The sequence below is a fragment of the Homo sapiens genome, chromosome 3 (genome assembly GCF_000001405.40).
Source record: "Homo sapiens chromosome 3, GRCh38.p14 Primary Assembly".
NCBI classification, from domain to species: domain Eukaryota; kingdom Metazoa; phylum Chordata; class Mammalia; order Primates; family Hominidae; genus Homo; species Homo sapiens.
The window spans coordinates 183,826,344-183,846,486 of record NC_000003.12 but is presented as its reverse complement, the minus strand read 5'-3'; the positions used below and the strand labels follow the sequence as shown (position 1 = coordinate 183,846,486).

Genomic DNA, 20,143 nt, shown 5'->3' with positions numbered 1-20,143 from the left:
AGTTTCCCTCTTGTTGCCCAGGCTGGAGTGCAATGGCGTGATCTCGGCTCACCTCAACCTCCGCCTCCTGGGTTCAAGTGATTCTCCTGCCTCAGCCTCCTGAGTAACCGGGACTACAGGCATGCACCACCACGCCCAGCTAATTTTGTATTTTTAGTAGAGACGAGGTTTCTTCATGTTGGTCAGGCTGGTCTCGAACTCCCGACCTCAGGTGATCCGTCCGCCTCAGCCTCCCAAAGTACTGCTGGGATTACAGACGTGAGCCACCGCACCCGGCCTTTATCTTTCATTTTTTTTCATGTATTTTCCTTTATTTTAATCACTTTATCCAGAAACATATCCTCGTCTTGACAGTGCTGTGGTGCCTGTGGTTTCCAGAAGCTGGGTGTGCTGTGTGTCTGTGGTTTGAGGAAGTTGCCCATGGAACTGACAGAGGAAGCAGAGTAGTCGTTGCCATTTTTCAGCCTAGTAGGCAGGATCAGGGACCCCATCTTGCTCTCTTTGCCTTGAACCACAATTAGAATAAAACACCAAAGCCCTGACTGATCATGATCATAGCAATCCGATCTTTATGATCATGGCCAGACCATTCTCAGGTCGTCTTTACCCTAAGATATCAATCACTGGGTATGACAACCTAGACCTAAGGGTGCACTCTGGGTAGTAAAGATGATTAACTCTCCCAAAGGAATCTAAGGAATCCAGAGCAACACGAATCACTGCTCTCTTCCTATAGGGTAAACCTCCCAAGACTCCAGTCCCTGTGAGGAGGCTCTGCCCGCCTGCCCTTCCCAGGGTTCCAGGCTCCACATTGGGAGGTGTACACAGTGCTCTTCGCTCTTCATTGCCTTGTGTATGATCCCTTTTCCCATCTTTGCATAAATGCTGTCCCTCTCACCATCTTTAAAAGAGTTCTGGGTAATTATTTACCAAAGGTGGTATAATGCTGTCACAGTCCCTGCTAGTGAGACATCTGATACAACTGATGGAATCAGTTCAACAAAATGCAGTAAAATTTTATTTAATGTACTACGGAGAAAGAAAAAATGCTACCAGTTATAAGATGCATCCTGATTTCAGATATTAAAATGGAAAAAATGTCTTAAGATCTGTGAAAAATGTAGCTTCCTTTCCCACCTCTCAAGTGGGAGAGCAAAAACTGGACAGACTAGAAATGCCAGGGGCTAGCTGAGAACCTTACAGAATGAGCAACTGCGGAAGCCACAGGTAACACCGAGATGTAGATCAGCTGCCAGGGACAAGACAAAGAATGTTTTCTAAAGTAAATCCTCTTACCAGTATGTTATTGAAATCAGTCCTTATTGGCATCGAAGAAGGTGAAAGTGCTACTTGCCTGTTGCCTACAGAGACTGGAGGAATGACAAATGTTTATTTTAATTCAACAAGTAGAGGAATACCTGCTATGTGAAGGAGTTGTGGCAATTCATAAAATTAATATATTTTTTGAAGTTTGTAGTTTTCAATAATAATTTCTTATCTAAAATGTAACAAGTTAATTATATTATCGAATAAACCTCAATTTCGTAGTACTAACAACATCAACACTTACAGAAAAAGGAAAGTCACTCAACTCCCACATGTAAACAGACTTTAGAAGCAGTTGCAGAGGTTTTCTAAATTATCCCTGAATTCCTATCACATGACTATTTTTCTCAGACATGTTGACCTTCACCTACACAGATGACTCACATATGTTTCCATAAGCTGGCAGTAAGTTTAAGAAGCATACCATGCCCTGAGGAAAAAGAAGTAATGTTAGCTCTTCTACTCTTGGCCAAAGAACCTAATTCTGTATATTACTTCTGTCTTTGGTTTGGCTATTATAGACAATAAATTATTGATCTGATTATAATTGAGAAAAGTAAGCTCTTCTAAAGAAGTAAAATATGGATCTAGGGAAAGGAAGTTAGCTCCCAGAGCATTTACAATTTCCCAGGAATTCTGTGACTTTACCAACCCTAGGCAGTGCTGATACTTTAAAAGCATTCATTTCACTTGCTTTTTTTTGGCTCACCCCCTATCCCCCAGGTATACAGTACTCTTACATAATTGTGGAAGAATCTTACAAGGGGGTAATGTAGATCAGACTTTCCTGCTTTCATTTTTAACCTCCCTAAATTATAAATATTTATTTTGTAGGTATTATAGCTGCAAATGTCCTTGTATTCTGTTTATGGAGAGTACCTTCTCTGCAGCGGACAATGATCAGATATTTCACATCGAATCCAGCCTCAAGTAAGTCTAACTTGTGTGAATTTATTTTAAGGTAGAAATAATATGAAAGAAATATGCTTTAGTTAATGGAAGTGCTGTAAAAAAGACGAATTACCTATCAATAGCTACAAGCAAAATGCAGAGGATAGGCTGTAAGCTCCTTCACTGAGGACAGGGACCTCACCTCTCTTTTTCTTTTTCTTTGTTTTTTTTGAGACGGAGTCTTCCTCTGTTGCCCAGGCTGGAGTGCAGTGGTGCAGTCTTAGCTCACTACAACCTCCACCTCCCAGGTTCAAGTGATTCTCCTGCCTCAGCCTCCCTAGTAGCTAGGATTACAGGTGCCCGCCACCACACCCAGCTAGTTTTTGTATTTTTAATAGAGACAGGGTTTCACCGTGTTGGATAGGCTGTTCTTGAACACCTGACCTCAGGTGATCTGCCTGGCTCGGCTGGAGTGCAGTGGCGTGATCTCAGCTCACTGCAAGCTCCGCCTCCCGGGTTCATGCCATTCTCCTGCCTCAGCCTCCTGAGTAGCTGGGACTACAGGTGCCCGCCACCACGCCCCGCTAATTTTTTTGTATTTTTAGTAGAGACGGGGTTTCAACATGTTAGCCAGGATGGTCTCGATCTCCTGACCTCGTGATCCGCCCGCCTCAGCCTCCCAAAGTGCTGGGATTATAGGCGTGAGCCACTGCGCCCGGCCAATTTACTTTTTATTTTATTTTATTTTATTTTTTGAGACAGGGTCTTGCTCTGTTGCCCAGGCTAGAGTGCAGTGATACGATCTTGGCTCACTGCAACCTCTGCTTCTCAGGCTCAACTGATCCTCCCACCTCAGCCCCCAGGAGCTGGGACTACAGGTGCATGCCACCATGCCCAGCTAATTTTTTTTGTTTTTAGTGCAGATGAGGTCTTGCCATGTTGCCCAGACTGCTTATTTTTTTCTAATCAACTTTTGCCATAAGGACAAGTTGCTTTCATTGAACTGAGAGTTTTTATTGGTTGCTTACTAAGTAGAAAAGAGATTTATTAAGACAGCTTTTTGTCACTTTTAAAAATGATGTCTTAAGCTGGGCATAGTGACTCACATCTATAATCCCAGCACTTGGGGAGGCTGAGGCAGGTGAACTGCTTGAGCTCAGGAGTTCGAGACCAGCCTGGGAAACATGGTGAAACCCCATCTCTACTAAAAATACAAAAATTAGTTGGGCATGGGGTATGTACCTGTGGTCCCAGCTACTCAGGAGGCTGAGGTGGGAGGATCACTTGAGCCCTTGAGCCTCAACTTGAGGAAGTTGAGGCTGCAGTGAGCCAAGATCGTGCCACTGCACTCCAGCCTGGGGCGACAGAGCAAGACTCTCTCCAAAAAAAAAAAAAAGTCTTAAAAATAGCTGTTTTTGTTTTCCATGTTTGTTTCATAAATTTTTTTTTTTTTTTTTTTTTTGAGATAGAGTCTCGCTCTATGGCCCAGGCTGGAGTGCAGTGGCTCAATCTTGGCTCACTGCAAACTCTACCTCCTGGGTCCAAGTGATTCTCCCGCCTCAGCCTTCCGAGTAGCAGGAATTACAAACGTGCGCCACCACACCTGGCTAATTTTTATATTTTTAATAGAGATGGGGTTTGACTATGTTGGCCAGGCTGGTCTTGAACTCCTGACTTAGTGATCCGCCTGCCTTGGCCTCCCAAAGTGCTGGGATTACAGGCGTGAGCCACTGCGTCCGGCCTAATTTTAAAAGTTTAAAATGGATAATTTTTATTGGCTGTGTGTTTCATGATTACCAGACTATGTTTCTCTCTCTTGTAGAGGTCCTTTGTTCTCCAATGTTGCTGTCAACATTCAGTCATTTCTCCTTATTTCACATGGCAGCAAATATGTATGTTTTGTGGAGCTTCTCTTCCAGCATAGTGAACATTCTGGGTCAAGAGCAGTTCATGGCAGTGTACCTATCTGCAGGTAATATGCTTTAATCTCGGGGCCTTTGAGAGTATAAGCACTCTAAGCTATCTGCAGAACGGACAAAGGGAATGATTACTGCCATATTCTACACGTAGTGAGTGCTCAGAACATATTTGTTTCTCACAGTGTATGTAGAGAAGGGAGCCACAGATTGGTGGAGATGTTGCCTTTTCTGTTCATTTTGCTGATTTCTTCTTACATATGAATTATGTGGGTATGTTTAATTTTAAGTTAGGATAAACAGGCGTTAAGTAAGGGTTAGTGTAGAATTTAAGCATGTCATTTTTGTAATCTCATCGGGCCTTGATTTCATTAGTTTAGGCCCTCCATTTTATAGATAGTGGTTCCCAGACTTCCCGGCTGCCTCAATCTCCTGGGTCTTTGTTAAATAACCTTAAGCAAGCTCATTTCCCCCAGTGTGTTCAGTTCACAGAAAGCTTTAAATCAGAGCTATACAATATGATTGTCAAGAGTGAGTTTGTTCTGTCTTCTTTGCAAGAATGTAGCAGGGAACCACTTCCTAGCCATGGTCTTGAAGATGGTATCGTTTCTTATTTCAGTTAGGAAATTCTCATGCATGAATCCAGGTCCCTAGATGCTGCTAACGTGACAGTTGGTCAAATTTTACTTACCTCTCTGTTTGTAAAATGTACTTACTTAATACAATATAAAAATTAATTTCTAAAATCTCTACATTTAGAAACAGTATATCTGGCAGTTGTGCTGTGATGTAGTGAAAAACACTAAGCTTGGCGATAGACCCAGGTTCAGATCCTATTTCTACTACCAGCTGAGTGATGTTGCAAAAATGACTAAACCTCATGATACTTACCTCCTCATGACAAGGGGTTAAAGAAAGGACTACATAAAAGCATCTACCACAAGCCCCAGAGTAGATGCTTAATTAGTGTTCATCGAATACTTATGTGTATCTAGTCCTTCAAAAAAAGAAGCTGAGCATTGTGTTTGGCTTGTAAGATAAGTGTATAGTTCTTTCCCAAGCACTAGTTATGTTGTAGTTACAGAGGGTCTGTTTCAGATACATTAATTCCTGCTCCATAGGAGGTTTTTAAAAATGAGCCACGTTGACTCAAATGGCACTGAAGCCAAAGAGACTTACGGGATCATCCAGTCTGTTGTCCCACCCCAGATATTCTGATTTCGTGTGTCTGGAGTACAGCCAGAGAATATACTCTTGGGAATGAGTCTTCATGTTATAGTTGAGGAAAATGGTAACTGAGAAGTGGAGTGAATGACCGTGTCGCTCAGCAGATCATGCAGCAGGTCAGACTTTTCATCCCCTGTAAAGTCGCTGAAATGATAGGCAGGAGAAGTATTCATGCCCGTACCCTCACAGTGATCCAGATTGAAACCCGACACTGTTTATCTGTGTAGAAATCAGAAATGAAAACCATTTTCATGGCTGGATGTGGTGCCGCACGCCTGTAATCCCAGCTACTCAGGAGGCTGGGGGACAAGAATAACTTGAACCCGGTAGGCACAGGTTGCAGTGAGCCAAAATTGTACCACTGCACTTCAGCAGCCGGGGCGAAAGAGTGAAACTCTGTCTCAAAAAAAAAAAAAAGAAAAGAAAAAAAAAAGTAAACCATTTTTATACCTCACTTAAATTATTGTAATGTGACTTGTTTTTCAGGTGTTATTTCCAATTTTGTCAGTTACGTGGGTAAAGTTGCCACAGGAAGATATGGACCATCACTTGGTGCAGTAAGTATTTCTATTGTAAATTTTTTTTAATTTAATTTTTAAATTTACTTTGAAATAAGTTTAGACTTAGAAGAATGTTGTAAAATTGATAAGAGGTTCTCATATACCCTTCACCCTACTGTTAACTAACATCGAAACCAAGAAATTAACATTGAAACAATACAGTTGACTAATTTAGAATTTATACATTTGTAAAGCTTTGTAAATGTCCGGCTATAGCTTTTAACCATTGGTCATATATATATGTTTACCAGAGCAGAGTATATCTCAGAACAGTAAGTGTGCAATCCTCGTAAACCAGAGAGCCTAATCCAGTATTGGAAGATTCTAATTATAGATTTGAATCTGGTACTTTATCCTCCTATTTAGTCAATATTGGAGTGCCTACTAGGTGCTATGCTAGAGCCTGGGGATAACAGCTGGTGAGCAAGATGATCACGATTATTTGTGTTGGTTTTAGAAAGTGGGGAACAACAACAACAAAAAAGGCTCCTGCCCTCAGAGCTCTTATATTCTGGATGCTTAAAAAAATTTTTCTTAGGCTGGATGCAGTGGTTTACACCTGTAATCCCAGCACTTTGGGAGGCCAAGGTGAGAGGATGAGCCCAAGAATTCGAAACCAGCCCTGGTAACATACCAAGATCCTATCTGTACAAAAAAATTTAAAAAATTAACTGGGGGTGGTGGCTTATGCCGGTAGTCTCAGCTACTCAGGAGGCTGAGGAAGGAGGATAGCTTGAGCCTAGGAGGTTGAGGCTGCGGTGAGCTGTGATTGTACCACTGCACCCCAGCCTGGGTGACATAGCAAGACCCTATCTCAAAAAAAAAATTTTTTTTTAAGTGTGTTTTGAGGCTGGGTGCAGTGGCTCACACCTGTAATCCCAGCACTTTGGGAGGCTGAGGTGGGCAGCTCACTTGAGGTCAGGAGTTCAAGACCAGCCTGGTCAACATGGTGAAACCCTGTCCCTCCTGAAAATACAATAATTAGCCAGGTGTGGTTGTGCATGCTTGTAATCCCAGCTACTCGGGAGGCTGAGGCAGGAGAATTACTTGAACCCAGCGGGTAGAGGTTGCAGTGAGCTGAGATTGCACCACTGCACTCCAGCCTGGGTGACAGAACAAGACCCTGTCTCACAGAACAAGACCCTGTCTCAAAGAAAAAAAATTTTTTTAAGTGTCTTTTGAGTTTAATGGCAGATTTCTGGGCACATGGAAATCTTTATGTAATATTTCCTTACACATTCAGTTTGTACTTATTTAAATACTAATTCATTTAAATGCATTCAAATAGGGAATTTCCTATTTAAAGGAACTCTAAAAAGGTCAATTTTGAAAAGAATTCTTATGTAAAATAACCATTCCCTAATTTGTATGTTCCCCAAATTTGTTTACACTTAATTTTCCTAGTGAGGCCTGTGTTCTGTCCTGTGACCACATGCTTTCTTAAGCCTCCTTCTTTCCCTTCGTGGAATGTTTATTTTCTTTATACAATTTCGCTCTGATATAATTTATATATTTCGAATCATATTGTCTACCTCATTCAACAGCTAAGCACCTAATATATGAAGGCAGTGAAGACCACTAGGATGAATCAGAGACTCAGAATTCGAATTTAGCTGGGGAGAAAACATACACACATCTAATACACACTGAAAGGAATGAGGATTCTCTAGAGGACTTTGGGGGCTCTAAGAGTGAAGAGACCTTTCTAATTAGCTGAAAGGACCTGCGAGGGCATTTTGATGTGCTCTTGGACAGCTGTTGTCCTCATCTTATAGATAAGAAACTGAAGTGCAAACTTAATGAAGTATGGCAGTAAGGTATTTGGAGTTAGAGTGGGGGTGAATCCTGGTTCTGCTACTTACGTGTGATTTCTAGGACATATTACTGAACTTCTCTGAATTTCAGTTTCCCTTTATAAAATGGGGATAACACCATCTATTTCTGAGGTGCAAAGCAAGTACATTTAGAGTGCTTAGCACAATAAGAAGCACATGGTAAGAAATGTGGACATGGTAGTTCCTGTTCAGTCATCAAAATCCTACAGCGCCGTGGTAGGATAACATTATCCCCAAATATCTTAATGAATCTGTGATTAAAATTCAAGGAAATTAAATCACCAGGTATAATGGCATTTTTAATGAGAAATCTGGGAAAAAAACACCATTAACAAAGTTGTGTTGTTACAAAATGTAAAGCGTTAGTCCTCTTGGTTTAGTGAGACGTTATAAGATGCAGGGGACAGCCAGGCACAGTGGCTCACGCCTGTAGGCCCAACACTTTGGGAGCCACGGCAGGAAGATCACTTGAGCCCAGGAGGTTTGAGACTAGCCTGGGCAACAAAGTGAGACCCCATCTCTACAAAAAATTTCAAAATTAAGCCGGGCATGGTGGCATGCACCTGTAATCCTACCTACTCAGGAGAGGTGGGAGGGTGGGAGGAATGCCTGAGCCTAGGAGGGTGAGGCTGCTGTGAGCCATGAGCATGCCACTGTGCTCCAACCTGGACAACATAGCGAGACCCCATCTCAAAAAAAAAAAAAGAAAGTTGAATGGGACTGTTAAAATATGTTTGTAAATTACTGTATTGGTACTATCCTGGATAATTTTTAAACTTTTCTGTAGAGACAGGGTCTCCCTATGTTGCCAAGGCTGGTCTCAAACTCCTGGGCTCAAGTGATCCTCCTACCTGGGCCTCCCAAAGTGTTGGGATTACTGGTGTGAGCCACTACACCCGGCCAATTGTCTTTTCTTATTCAAGTTGAGATTTTTCTGGTTCTTGATATGATGAGTGATTTTTCAGTTGAAGCCTGATCATTTTAGATATGATGAGACTTTGGATCTTATTGAAATCTGCTGTTTCAGTGGTCTTCCTCTGACACTGTTCTGATGAGGAGAGGGGGTGCCGTGACTCGTTACTGCTGGGTGTAGGAGTAGACGTCCAGGTTCCTCACTCAGCCGCCTTTGCCTCCTGAGTGATAGGGGCTCTTGTCACTGCAGGGCAGGGATGGGAGCTGAGGGCGTGCAGGCTACCTAGTGTGCCTCTGCTAATGTCGCTGTGGCTAGGAGGAGCAAGGGTGCTTCTTTCCGCTGACACCGCCTGTTAGGCGTATTGGGATGCCTCATTACAGTGTGGCAAGGGTGGGAGTCTAGGCTCTGCTCAGCCTTTGCTGGGCACCCGTTTCTCTAAATATTGTCTAAAAGGTCTCTTTTGCTAGGCTATCTTTTTTTGGTCCTTGACTAGAGAGAACATGTTGAGGGATGATCGATATGAGGCCAAAAGAAAGCCCAGGGAACTCACCACCACAACATTGATTGAATCTCAGGCTTCCTAGCTGGTCCGCTTTCCTCTCTCTTCCTTTCACAGTCCTCTTACATTTGTTTCATATGTAACACCCAGGGTCTTTAGCTGTACTTAGCTTTTGTAAGCAGAGGGAGCAGATTCACTTAAATTATAATACCAAATAAAGTTAAAAAACATAAGTATGATAGATTTGAAGATTATATAGATACAGAAAAATGTTTGTGAGCCCAGGCGCAGTGGCTCACAACTGTAATCCCAGCACTTTGGGAGGCCGAGGTGGGTGGATCACTTGAGGCCAGGAGTTCGAAACCAGCCTGGCCAACATGGTGGAACCCCATCTCTACTAAAAATACAAAAATTAGCTGGGCATGGTGGTGTGTACCTGTTAGTCCCAGCTACTTGGCAGGCTGAGGTGTGAGAATTAACTTGAACCTGGGAGGCGGAGGTTGCAGTGAGATCGTGCCACCGCACTCCAGTTTGGGCAATAGCGAGACTCTGTCTCAAAAAATATATGTTTATGAAATAAGTAAAAAAAAATCAGATGTGCATATTGATTACAGGTATATAACCAGTACATAAAAATATTGATGGAGAACAAAAGACCTTCACCTCTTCCCATGGACCCACACCTCTTAGGTCTGTTGGATCAGGGTTCATGACTCACTGTACTTAAACTGTGTATGAATGTGAGCGTTTTCTGAGAAGAGAAGGGTTCATTTTCATTAAATTCTTCTTTCTGACTCGAAAAAGTGAAAAAAGTCTCTCTGCATGGGAGTAAGCCCAAATATTTGTCAAAAAACAAGTTGTGATTTATTCAGACATATAAATATTTAAATTTATATAAAAGCCACATCGAGAAAATTCTAGAAGGATGATGGAACTGTGTATGTAATAATTACAATAAGTTATAATCACAAAAAAACCAGCGTTCCATGGAATTGTACAGATAACGACAATTTTTTTTAACAGATGGAGAATAATCATCTATGGAATAGTAGTTTAGAAGAACTTCATAGAATTTTTTTTTTTTTTTTTTTTTTTTTTTTTTGAGATGGAGTTTCGTTCTTGTTGCCCAGGCTGGAGTGCAAAGGTGCGATCTCGGCTCGCTACAACCTCTGCCTCCCGGGTTCAAGCAATTCTCCTGCCTCAACCTCCTGAGTAGCTGGGATTACAGGCATGCACGACCATGCCCAGCTAATTTTGTATTTTTAGCAGAGACTGGGTTTCTTCATGTTGGTCAGGCTGGTCTCGAACTCCAGACCTCAGGTGATCTGCCCGCCTCAGCCTCCCAAAGTCCTGGGATTACAGGTGTAAGCGACTGTGCCTGGCAGAACTTCATAGAATTTTAATGCTCTTTCATATCAACTAATCAAATTATATTTGCTTCATTTTGGGGAAACGTGTAATTTTGATTTGTTTTGGGGTTTTTTTGAGATAAAGTGTCACTCTGTCGCCCAGGCTGGAGTACAGTGGCTCAATCTTGGCTCACCACAACCTCAGCCTTCCGAGTAGCTGGGACTACAGGCGCCCACCACCACGTCTGGCTAATTTTTGTGTTTTTAGTAGAGACGGGGTTTCACTATGTTGGCTAGGCTGGTCTTGAACTCCTGACCTCAGGTGATCCACCTGCCTCGGCCCCTCAGAGTGCTGGGATTACAGGCGTGAGCCACCGTGCCCGGCTACAATTATAGTCTCTTGCACAGAAGCCAGCTTGGTCAAAATTCAGGTCTTCTTGGGTCCTCCTTTTGAGGAGTGTTCATGCTGTCCTTCCATCTTGCAGTTACCCTGACTTCTAAGAATGCAACCCGAGCTTGTTTCCCTGTTGAGGCCACTTGGCAGTTATATGAGGGACTGGGGACATCTGAGATCTCTGGGACTCATAATAATTTTCTTTAAAGTTTTAGTAATTCCCCAAATGTAAGATAATCTTGTATTCTGAAGCAACCCGTCACATAGAAGACATTAAGAAAACATTGATTAAGAGAGGTAGATGCTATTTTCCAGAAACAACCGTTTTTATATGAAAAGGTAGGAACCTTTCTTTTTAATGATAGGGGCTTCTTTCAAAAGTTATTTTGCTCTTAGGTGTCTTTTTTTTTTTTTTAAACATCTCATTCATAAATAATTAAAAACTTATGGAAAGTTGCAGGAAATAGTACAGAGGACTCCCATAAAGTCTTTTTTGTTTGTTTGTTTTGTTTTGTTTTGAGACAGAGTCTCGCTGTTTTACCCAGGCTGGAGTGCAGTGGGACAATCTCGGCTCACTGCAACCTCTGCCTCCCGGGTTCAAGCAATTCTCGGGCCTTAGCATCCTAAGTAGGTGGGATTATAAGCATCCGCCACCACGCCCAGCTAATTTTTTTTTTTTTTTTTTTTTTTGTATTTTTAGTAGAGACGGGGTTTTACCACGTTGGTCAGGCTGGTCTCAAACTCCTGACCTCAGGTGATCCACCTGCCTCGGCCTCCAAAAGTGCTGGGATTATAGGCGAGAGCCACTGCACCCAGCCCCATGTAGTCTTTTTAAAAAGCAGGCAACTCAGGTTTACTAGTTAACATGCAAAAAACTGCACATATTTAAAGTTTGGTAAGCTTTGACATGTAGACACCCGTGAAACCATCACCACACTCAAGATCATGGACATATTCATCCCAAAAGCTTCCTAGTGGTCACTCCTTCCTGCCCCTCCTCTACCCCTGGCGACAACTTACCTACTTCTACTAAAGATAAATTAGTTTGCAAATGGAACCATACAGCATATACTAGTATTTGTTGTCCTGGCCTCATTTACTCTGTATAATTACTTTGAGACTCATCCATGTTCTGTGTATCAGTTTATTCCTTTATTATTTTTGAGACAGGGTCTTACTCTGTTGCCCAGGCAGGAGTGCAGTGGTGCAATCATAGCTCACTGTAACCTTGACCTCCTGGGCTTAAGGGATCCTCATGCCTCACACTGTGCTGGAATTACAGGCGTGAGCCACCACACTGGCAATGTTTTGTTTCTTTATGAAGATGAATAAAGATTTCACATGAATTTTTTAAGATGAAACATGCTTCATGCATGCAGGTTTCTTTGGGCGTATTCATGCCCACTCCCTCTGGTTGGAGCTTTGTCAGAGAAGTGTGAGCAGTTCTTTCCTAGGCCATAGGTGAAAGATGCGCATGACACGCTTAGCACTGTCCTTGCGGTTCATGAGGCACATACATCTTACTGCCCCGTAGTAAAAATTCAGTCTTTCCAAGCGATTACTGTGTGAAGGACATTTAGTTCCTTCACCTATTATTGGGGACATAAGTAACTGAAAGCTTTGAAGCTTTGTGCTCACCTAGAAATGTGCAGCATGTAAACTTTCTAGAAAATGTGCTGCTCTTTAGACCTTGTAGCCACTAAGCAGTTGCATATTGAGTTTCCCATTCTCCCTGCTGTGTTACTTTGCAGTCTGGTGCCATCATGACAGTCCTCGCAGCTGTCTGCACTAAGATCCCAGAAGGGAGGCTTGCCATTATTTTCCTTCCGATGTTCACGTTCACAGCAGGGAATGTAAGTATTTTTATGAAGTGCAGTGCTGGGGATAGTGGTGATGTTTTTATGTTGAGTGGGTTCTTGCCCTTAAGTTAGAAATGTCAGTGCTGGAGCAATCACAGTTGTGCCGCTTGTTTCTTGCTGCCTTTCAGGCCCTGAAAGCCATTATCGCCATGGATACAGCAGGAATGATCCTGGGATGGAAATTTTTTGATCATGCGGCACATCTTGGGGGAGCTCTTTTTGGAATGTAAGTTTGAGTGTAATTGATTGCTAAACTGCTTCCTTGGGTCATGCGCTCCTCCTACCCCAGCCTCACCCCTACCCCCCATCCCCATGGCAGAGACATTGAACTATGCAACGGAAGCAGAAGCAGGTGGGCTTGGGAGGGTGAGGAAACCTCAACGTGGCTTGCTTTGGGTTTACCCAGCATACCTGGCTCATTGTAGAGACAGTCTGTGCCTTTACCCTACGCTTAACCTTAAGTTGCCCCAACTGTTGGCCTGTTATTCCCAGCCCCCTCTTAGAAGACTGCAGCCTGGCCCCCAGTCTATGCTGACATCTTCTTTTTCCCCTTCAGACTTTCCTGCCCTCCTCTCCCCTGCCTGGCGTCCCACCCTGCTACCCTGACCTCTGTCTCGCCAGTGCTATTTAGACATGCTGAGTTGGCGGAGCCATTGCTCTGTATGACTGGAGTAGAGGCCGGTGACTGCAAACCAATGTGGACCACTTACTGAGTACCCGCTGTATGCAGGCACCAAGCTAGTTCCCTTATGTTATACTATTACTACTCCCATTTTACTGATGGGAAACTGAGGCTCAGACATCATCTTCCCCAGGCCAAACAGCTCTTCAATAGCAGAGCAGAGCTGTAAACCCACCTCTATAAGCCCTTTCCACCCCCACCACACCATATGGAATTGGTTGCTAAACTGCTTCCTTGGGTCACAGCAAATGGCATTGTGGTTACAAGACCTTCCACGTGTGCTTCAAACAATGGGGTTTTGCCTAGACTAGTGCTTAGTAGTAACTGTATCACGGAAACACGGTCAGGACTCTTGGCGTCCATCTGATCGTGGGAGACCCGTCAGCATGAGCTGGATCCCCTCGGGGCCTGTCTTTTCTTACATAAATGTTGCCTTTTGCCCTTACTTGGTTTTTATTTTGTTCCGCGACAATGGAAAACTTAATTTTTTTTTTTATTAAAAAGAAAAATCTATTCTGGCCAGGTGCAGTGGCTCACGCCTGTAATCCCAGCACTTTGGGAGGCCAAGGCAGGCGGATCACAAGGTCAGGAGATCGAGACCATCCTGGCTAACACAGTGAAACCCCGTCTCTACTAAAAATACAAAAAACTTAGCCGGGCGTGGTGGCGGGCGCCTGTAGTCCCAGCTACTCGGGAGGCTGAGGCAGGAGAATGGTGTGAACCCAGAAGGCAGAGCTTGCAGTGAGCCGAGATCACGCCACTGCACTCCAGCCTGGGCGACAAAGTGAGACTCTGTCTCAAAAAAAAAAAAAAGAAAAATCTATTCTAAGTGAAGCAGTTTTTCCCAGTAGGTGGCAGAACTAAATGCCATTATGCCATTTATAATTTTAAGTGATTAAAGAGGAGTAGTATGTAGTATATGCAAGGTCTAGCTCTAACAGCAGTGCAGTATAAATAGTAGAAACTGACCTGATATTACAGTATGAGAAACATGAAGGGGTTCTGTTTTGTGAGCTCTAAATTTATCTTCCATGTATACTTCAAGGCTCTTCTCCCCAGTAGATTTTTATTCATCTGAACTATAATTAGGTGGCCTTTTTCCATTCTGAAAATAATTGGATCAAATGCATTTTAAAGTCCAGGGTCTGAAAGGTGGAGGAATCCTTTCTCTTTACTGTTTCTAATTTAAACTCCTTTTCATTTACTAGATTTCAGTCATGTCCAGAATTCATCTTTTCTAAAAGCTTTAATCTAGATTTAGAAATCTAAAATCTTTTATTTATTTTTTTTTCGTTGAAGTGCCCTGATTTTGTTGGTGGTAAAGACTCCATTAGTATCCACTTATACATTTCCCTGACTTTGCCTCTGACCAAACCTTACAGTATTCACATTGTACTGTTGCAATAATAATAGCTAACATATTAATACGCTGAATATTTGCTGTGTGCCTAAGCTAAGGATTTAATTCTCTTAAAATCCTGTGAGGTATTTTATTTTACAGAAAAAGAAACTGCTTAAAGAAAGTAACTTATCCAGGTCACACAAGTAACAATTGCAGAGCTGGAGTTTCAGATGAGGGCTGGCTTGCGCTGCCGCTACAGAAAAGAGTGCCCTAGAAATCGGTCATCTTGCATTTCCCGATTTTAGTTTAGCCAAATGAAAAATTCCTTTTGGATTTATGAGTATAATCAGACAGTATACCTGTGAAATTAAAGTATTTGACTCTTTGCTTGAAATAAGTAGGTTAAAAAGATTTGGGTGGCCGGGCGCAGTGGCTCACGCCTGTAATCCCAGCACTTTGGGAGGCTGAGGCAAGTAGATCACTTGAGGTCAGGAGTTCGAGACCAGCCTGACCAATATGGGGAAACCTCGTCTCTACTAAAAATACAAAAATTAGCCGGGCGTGGTGGTGCATGCCTGTAATACCAGCTACTTGGAGGCTGAGGCAGGAGAATCACTTGAAGCCAGGAGGCAGAGGTTACAGTGAGCTGAGATCACGCCACTGCACTCCAGCCTGGGCAACAGAGCGCGACTCTGTCTAACAACAAAAAAGATTTGGGAAAACACTTTATTAATGAAGAGTTCCTGACAAAGTGATTTTTTTGGGGAGAATTTTTATAATTGCATTTGAATATTAGGGTGCTCCTTTTTCTCTCATTCTAAATTCACCAGAGACTTAAGCACAGAGAATTTTTATTACATGCCTGTTAATTAATGTGTATAATCAGATTTTAACTATATTTAGTGAATATTAAGATTCAGGTACAAATCAAGCCCTTTATAATTAAACATACACATTCAGAACATTTTTAAAATATTAAAACATTAAACTGCTCTTCTCACCCACTCCAAGTCAAATAGCATTTTTTCAGTCAGGTGTCTGGGAGCTCGATGCAAGATAACAAAATCTGGTCTCTGCCTCAGGGAACATGAAATCTGTTTGGGGAAGCCAGAGCAAAAATAAAGGTTTTAATAGCAAGCTCTCACTAACTGCCCCTGGAAATCCACCCCACATCCTCCAGGAAGCCTTTCTCTACCCCCAGTGCCCTCAGGAGCTTCTCCAAGGCAGGCCCTTCCCAGAGCGCAGTGTGCTCCCCAGCTCACAGAAGATGCTCCCTACACGCTGCAGGAAAGTCCAGTGCCTGCAGCACAGGCTTCAGCAGCAGACTCGGGTTCTAGTCTCAGTCTGCTGATTCCTAGTTGTGGAACCTGAGCAGGCGAAGTTACTAAACCTCTCTGTGCGTCAGCCTCCCAGGCTCGTTGCTTCAGGCCGCAGTTAGGCTGTGTGAACAGGAGAGTGGGGATGGGAACTAGGTATCTTAAAGCGGGGCAGAGTTTGGATGAGCGGGCCACCCTTCGTATAGTTAGGAGGAAGATGACGGGAGGCATGGAAGCTGGGATAGCCATCCTGAGTCAGTGCTAATTCTGACACTTCAGAACATCGAGTCAGTCTGACCTGCGAGTGAGCTTTCATTGACCACTTAGAAACTATTAGCACCTTGGACAAACTACTTTCTTTCAGACCTGGTTGCTTCATGTCTGCGATGGGAAAACTGATACTTAACTTGCAGATAGTGGTGAATCAAAAGTAGTATATGTGAAGTACTCACACACTGCGGAGCATTCAGCCATCGTCCCATCCTACTTCTACCTTTTACATATTGTAATATGAAAGCTAAACCATTTCTCGATGTGAGTCAGTTTTAATCGGCTACATAGTGAGTGGCATTCGATTTTAAAAATGTCAACTTGGGATCTGTCACCATGCTACTTACCATTTGTATGTCACACTGTTTGAATGTCGGACCTGGTTTGTTTTTCTCCAGATGGTATGTTACTTACGGTCATGAACTGATTTGGAAGAACAGGGAGCCGCTAGTGAAAATCTGGCATGAAATAAGGACTAATGGCCCCAAAAAAGGAGGTGGCTCTAAGTAAAACTGGGATTGGACAGTAGTGGTGCATCTGGTCCTTGCCGCCTGAGAGCCCCAGGAGACATCGGCTAGAGTGACCATGGCTATGCTCCCGTCTGGAAGATGCCAGCATCTGGCCTCCCACTGTTTTCAGCTGTGTCCCCCAGTCCGTGTCTTTTTAGAATGTGAATGATGATAAAGTTGTGAAATAAAGGTTTCTATCTAGTTTGTAAGCAGATGTGTGTGTTCTCTCTTTAAGGGGCCGACACGGCTCTGGCATTTTGCTTTGGTTGTTGCATTGACAGGACCTGGGGAGAGTGCACCCTGAAAGGCCTGATCAGAACATGAAGGCGCTGGTTGCCTGTCTTTGGACCCTCCAGTGCCTCTGCTTAGCCTTCACTCTTCCTTGCCTCCCCCTCCCCTGGGTTGGCTGCACATAAAAGTCGAGAGTATCCCCTCTCCAGCACAATCTGAAATAACAGCTGCAGTATTTTCTCAATTTTCAGGAAAGGTAGTGTTTTCTGGCAGTGAGTGGCATATACAAAAAGCTATTTTCAGGTTTTGCTTTCTAGGTTCAATTTGTAGATAAATTAAGAGGTAGAAAGAAGTGATTTGGGTAAATTCAGACTTGAATCTGAGCCGAATTTTATCTTCTGTTTGAAAGTGTTCTAATTGAAGCGTCTCACTGAAATAGCAGATAGTGGCTGTCGTCGTCACAGCCTCACTGTTGTGGAATTCATGTTACCCTCGTGACTGAGAATGACATCTAGGAAATGCAGTTTGAGAGTATGTTCTTCTTGAAGTCATTTACAGGAGAATTTTTAGTCTTTTGATGGCTTCAAAATGTTATACCAAGTCTTGCAGCTTTGTCCTGGGAGGATCGAAGGCCCTGATTTCAGCCTCCTGTGGCCGATCGGACTCAGGTTGTGTGCCGTGGGGGATGGGAATGGCGGCTTTGGAAAAGGAGTGGGAGTGGTGCCCACCTCACCAGGCAAGTGAGAACTGCATGGCAGCACGCGCCCAGCACATAGAAATTGTCCAGTATTTGGCAGTCCTTCATATCCTTCTTCCATCAGGCTGGACTTGTTTCTACTATGATTTACAGTTATTCTTCCCAGGCACAGGATTCTGTTCTAAACTCGTATCACTTCTAGGGGAGAGAGTTATCTTAGCCATCATTTTGCCAGCGAGGAAACGGCACACGTGGTGTAGGGGCACTGCCCAAGGTCACAATGCTTTGCTCTGACATCTGCTAACAACTCTGCAACACAGATGAGGCAAGATGCGTTTTCCAGAGATGGGATAGGAGGCTGAGTTCATAGGGACATTCCCTCTAGAGCCCAACATTAATTCACATCGTGCTTTGGGCAGACCAGGCAAAGAGGCAATGAAGACATCTCTGTGTCCCTGCTTTGTGACTGGGAAAAAGTTAGAAGTCCCTGTAGCATCTCCTGGTCCCTAAAACCCCTCAATGCTGGAGCCTCTGTGCATGGCCTGGGGAGGCCAGAACCTGGCTGTGGCCGGAGAAGCCTTGCTGTCCACAGCTCCCTCCTGATTGCCCACGAGGGTGCTTCACTTTCTCCTCTTGGCTTCTCTGGGGACCCGCGATCACTGCCTTCAAGGCCATGCACTCCCTGGCCCGTGGGCCTCTTGGGCTGTGCCGCCTCCACTGGCATCTGAAGTGTGGGGTACCTAGGAACATGCCGTGGCTGCCGTCTCCCTCATTCCATACACTTCTTGAGTGGGTGCACTTGCTGAAGCCTCAGTTATCTGTGAGGATTCTGAGCTCCAGACCCACAGAATCTCTCTGTACTCTTAGTAAATGTGTCTACTGCAACACACGCATGGTTCCAGGCTCTGGGACCACCCCCCCGCCCTGCACAGGCCCCTCAAATAGCACTCGGCTTAAGGAGTGACACGAGCAATCGGTGAAGTCTGAAACCCGGAGCCATTCGAGATCTCCCTCTCTCGCCTCTTATTTCTAGAATTCAGCCCCTCAGCCTTCCCAGTGCCTGTGACTCCGTGGTGGTCCTCACTTCTTAGTCCCTGGACTGTTGAGCCTGTTCTTCCAGCTGGTCTCCAAAGCAACCCTGTGCTTCTCCATATGCCTGCCAGAGTGCTAAAAACATGTCTGTCATTCCTTTGTTGTCACCTGTGAAAAACTTTTATTTATTTGAGACAGGGTCTCTCTCTCTCTCTCTCGTCCAGGCTGGAGTTCAGTGGTGCAATCATAGCTCACTGTAGCCTTGAAGTCCTGGGCTCAAGCCTCAGCCTCCAAGTAGCTGGCACTGCAGGCACACACTACCACGCCTGGCTAATTTTTAAAAGTTTTTTGTAGAGACAGGGTCTCACTGTGTTGCCCAGGCAGTTCTCAAACTCCTGGGCTCAAGCAGTCCTCTTGCCTCAGCCTCCCAAAGTGCTGGGATTCCACGCATGAGCCATCTGCACCCGGCCATATGAAAAGCTAAAATTCCTTAGTGTGGCCACCAAGACCCTCCATGGTCTGCTACCTCAGCTGAACCCTCCTCCCCCGTGACCTACATTCCCACCTGGCCCAACCACCCTCCCTCACAACAGGTGGCGAGTCCAGCTTTCCCCAGCCTGCCTCCCTCTCATGCTGACCTGGCCTTGTCAGTTCAATTACACTTCCTTCCGTCCCTCACTACCACACTAAACCTCCTGAAGGCACCCAGAATTATTCCTAGCACATAGCAACTGCTCTTTGACTGTTGTTTGATCAATGAAGTAATAAAAAGAGAGCTGCTCTCTTTTCCTGCGAGATGGAGAATTTTAGTCCCAAGCGCCATCTGCCAGGCTGGCTAACCCAGGGCCGTGGCGGACAGTCCACAAAGAGTTCACTCTGACCCGGCCCCTGTGTGTCATTTTCCAGGATCTCCCTCTACACCTGGCGCCTCGCCTGCTGCCTGCTGGGACATGGCCTGGCCTGCTCAGCTGACCTGCTGCCACTTCTAGGCAGCCGTCATGTCACTTTGCTACAACTTCAAGCTAAGACAGGCAATGTTTTGGGAGATGAATCTGTTTTCTGACTGGCCAGGGATGTGCTGCAGTCCCCTCCCAGGCGCAGACTGGATACCTTCCAAGTACAACCTTGAAATGGAGCTCTGGGTAATTAATGCTGTCTCAGTAGTGTTATTAGTAATTGGTCTGCAGTGTATACCGAGAGCATGTGTCAAATATTCAGAAAAGCGTTTGTGGGTGGTCAGGGAGTTGTTTGAGACGGTGTCCTGCATTGAACAGACCTGCCTTTACGCTGGAGGA

The 20,143-nt window shown here is 44.2% G+C and overlaps 1 protein-coding gene across 14 annotated transcripts in view; it reads left to right on the top strand.

Moving 5' to 3' along the window:
* PARL (presenilin associated rhomboid like) overlaps nt 1-19,998 on the top strand; it is a 58,392-nt gene extending 38,394 nt beyond the window's left edge. For 5 of the 14 annotated variants that reach the window (XM_005247582.6, XM_024453628.2, XM_047448518.1 and 2 more), the window contains 6 exons: nt 2,161-2,256; nt 4,040-4,189; nt 5,847-5,917; nt 12,662-12,763; nt 12,898-12,995; nt 19,755-19,998. In XM_005247582.6, the coding sequence (XP_005247639.1) occupies nt 2,161-2,256; nt 4,040-4,189; nt 5,847-5,917; nt 12,662-12,763; nt 12,898-12,995; nt 19,755-19,911 (674 nt within the window). In that variant the 3' untranslated portion in view covers nt 19,912-19,998. Of the gene's footprint in view, nt 1-2,160; nt 2,257-4,039; nt 4,190-5,846; nt 5,918-12,661; nt 12,764-12,897; nt 12,996-16,777; nt 17,217-19,754 lie in introns of those variants that run through there. The other 9 variants (NR_136893.2, NM_018622.7, XM_017006801.2 and 6 more) reach the window with 8 other exon arrangements.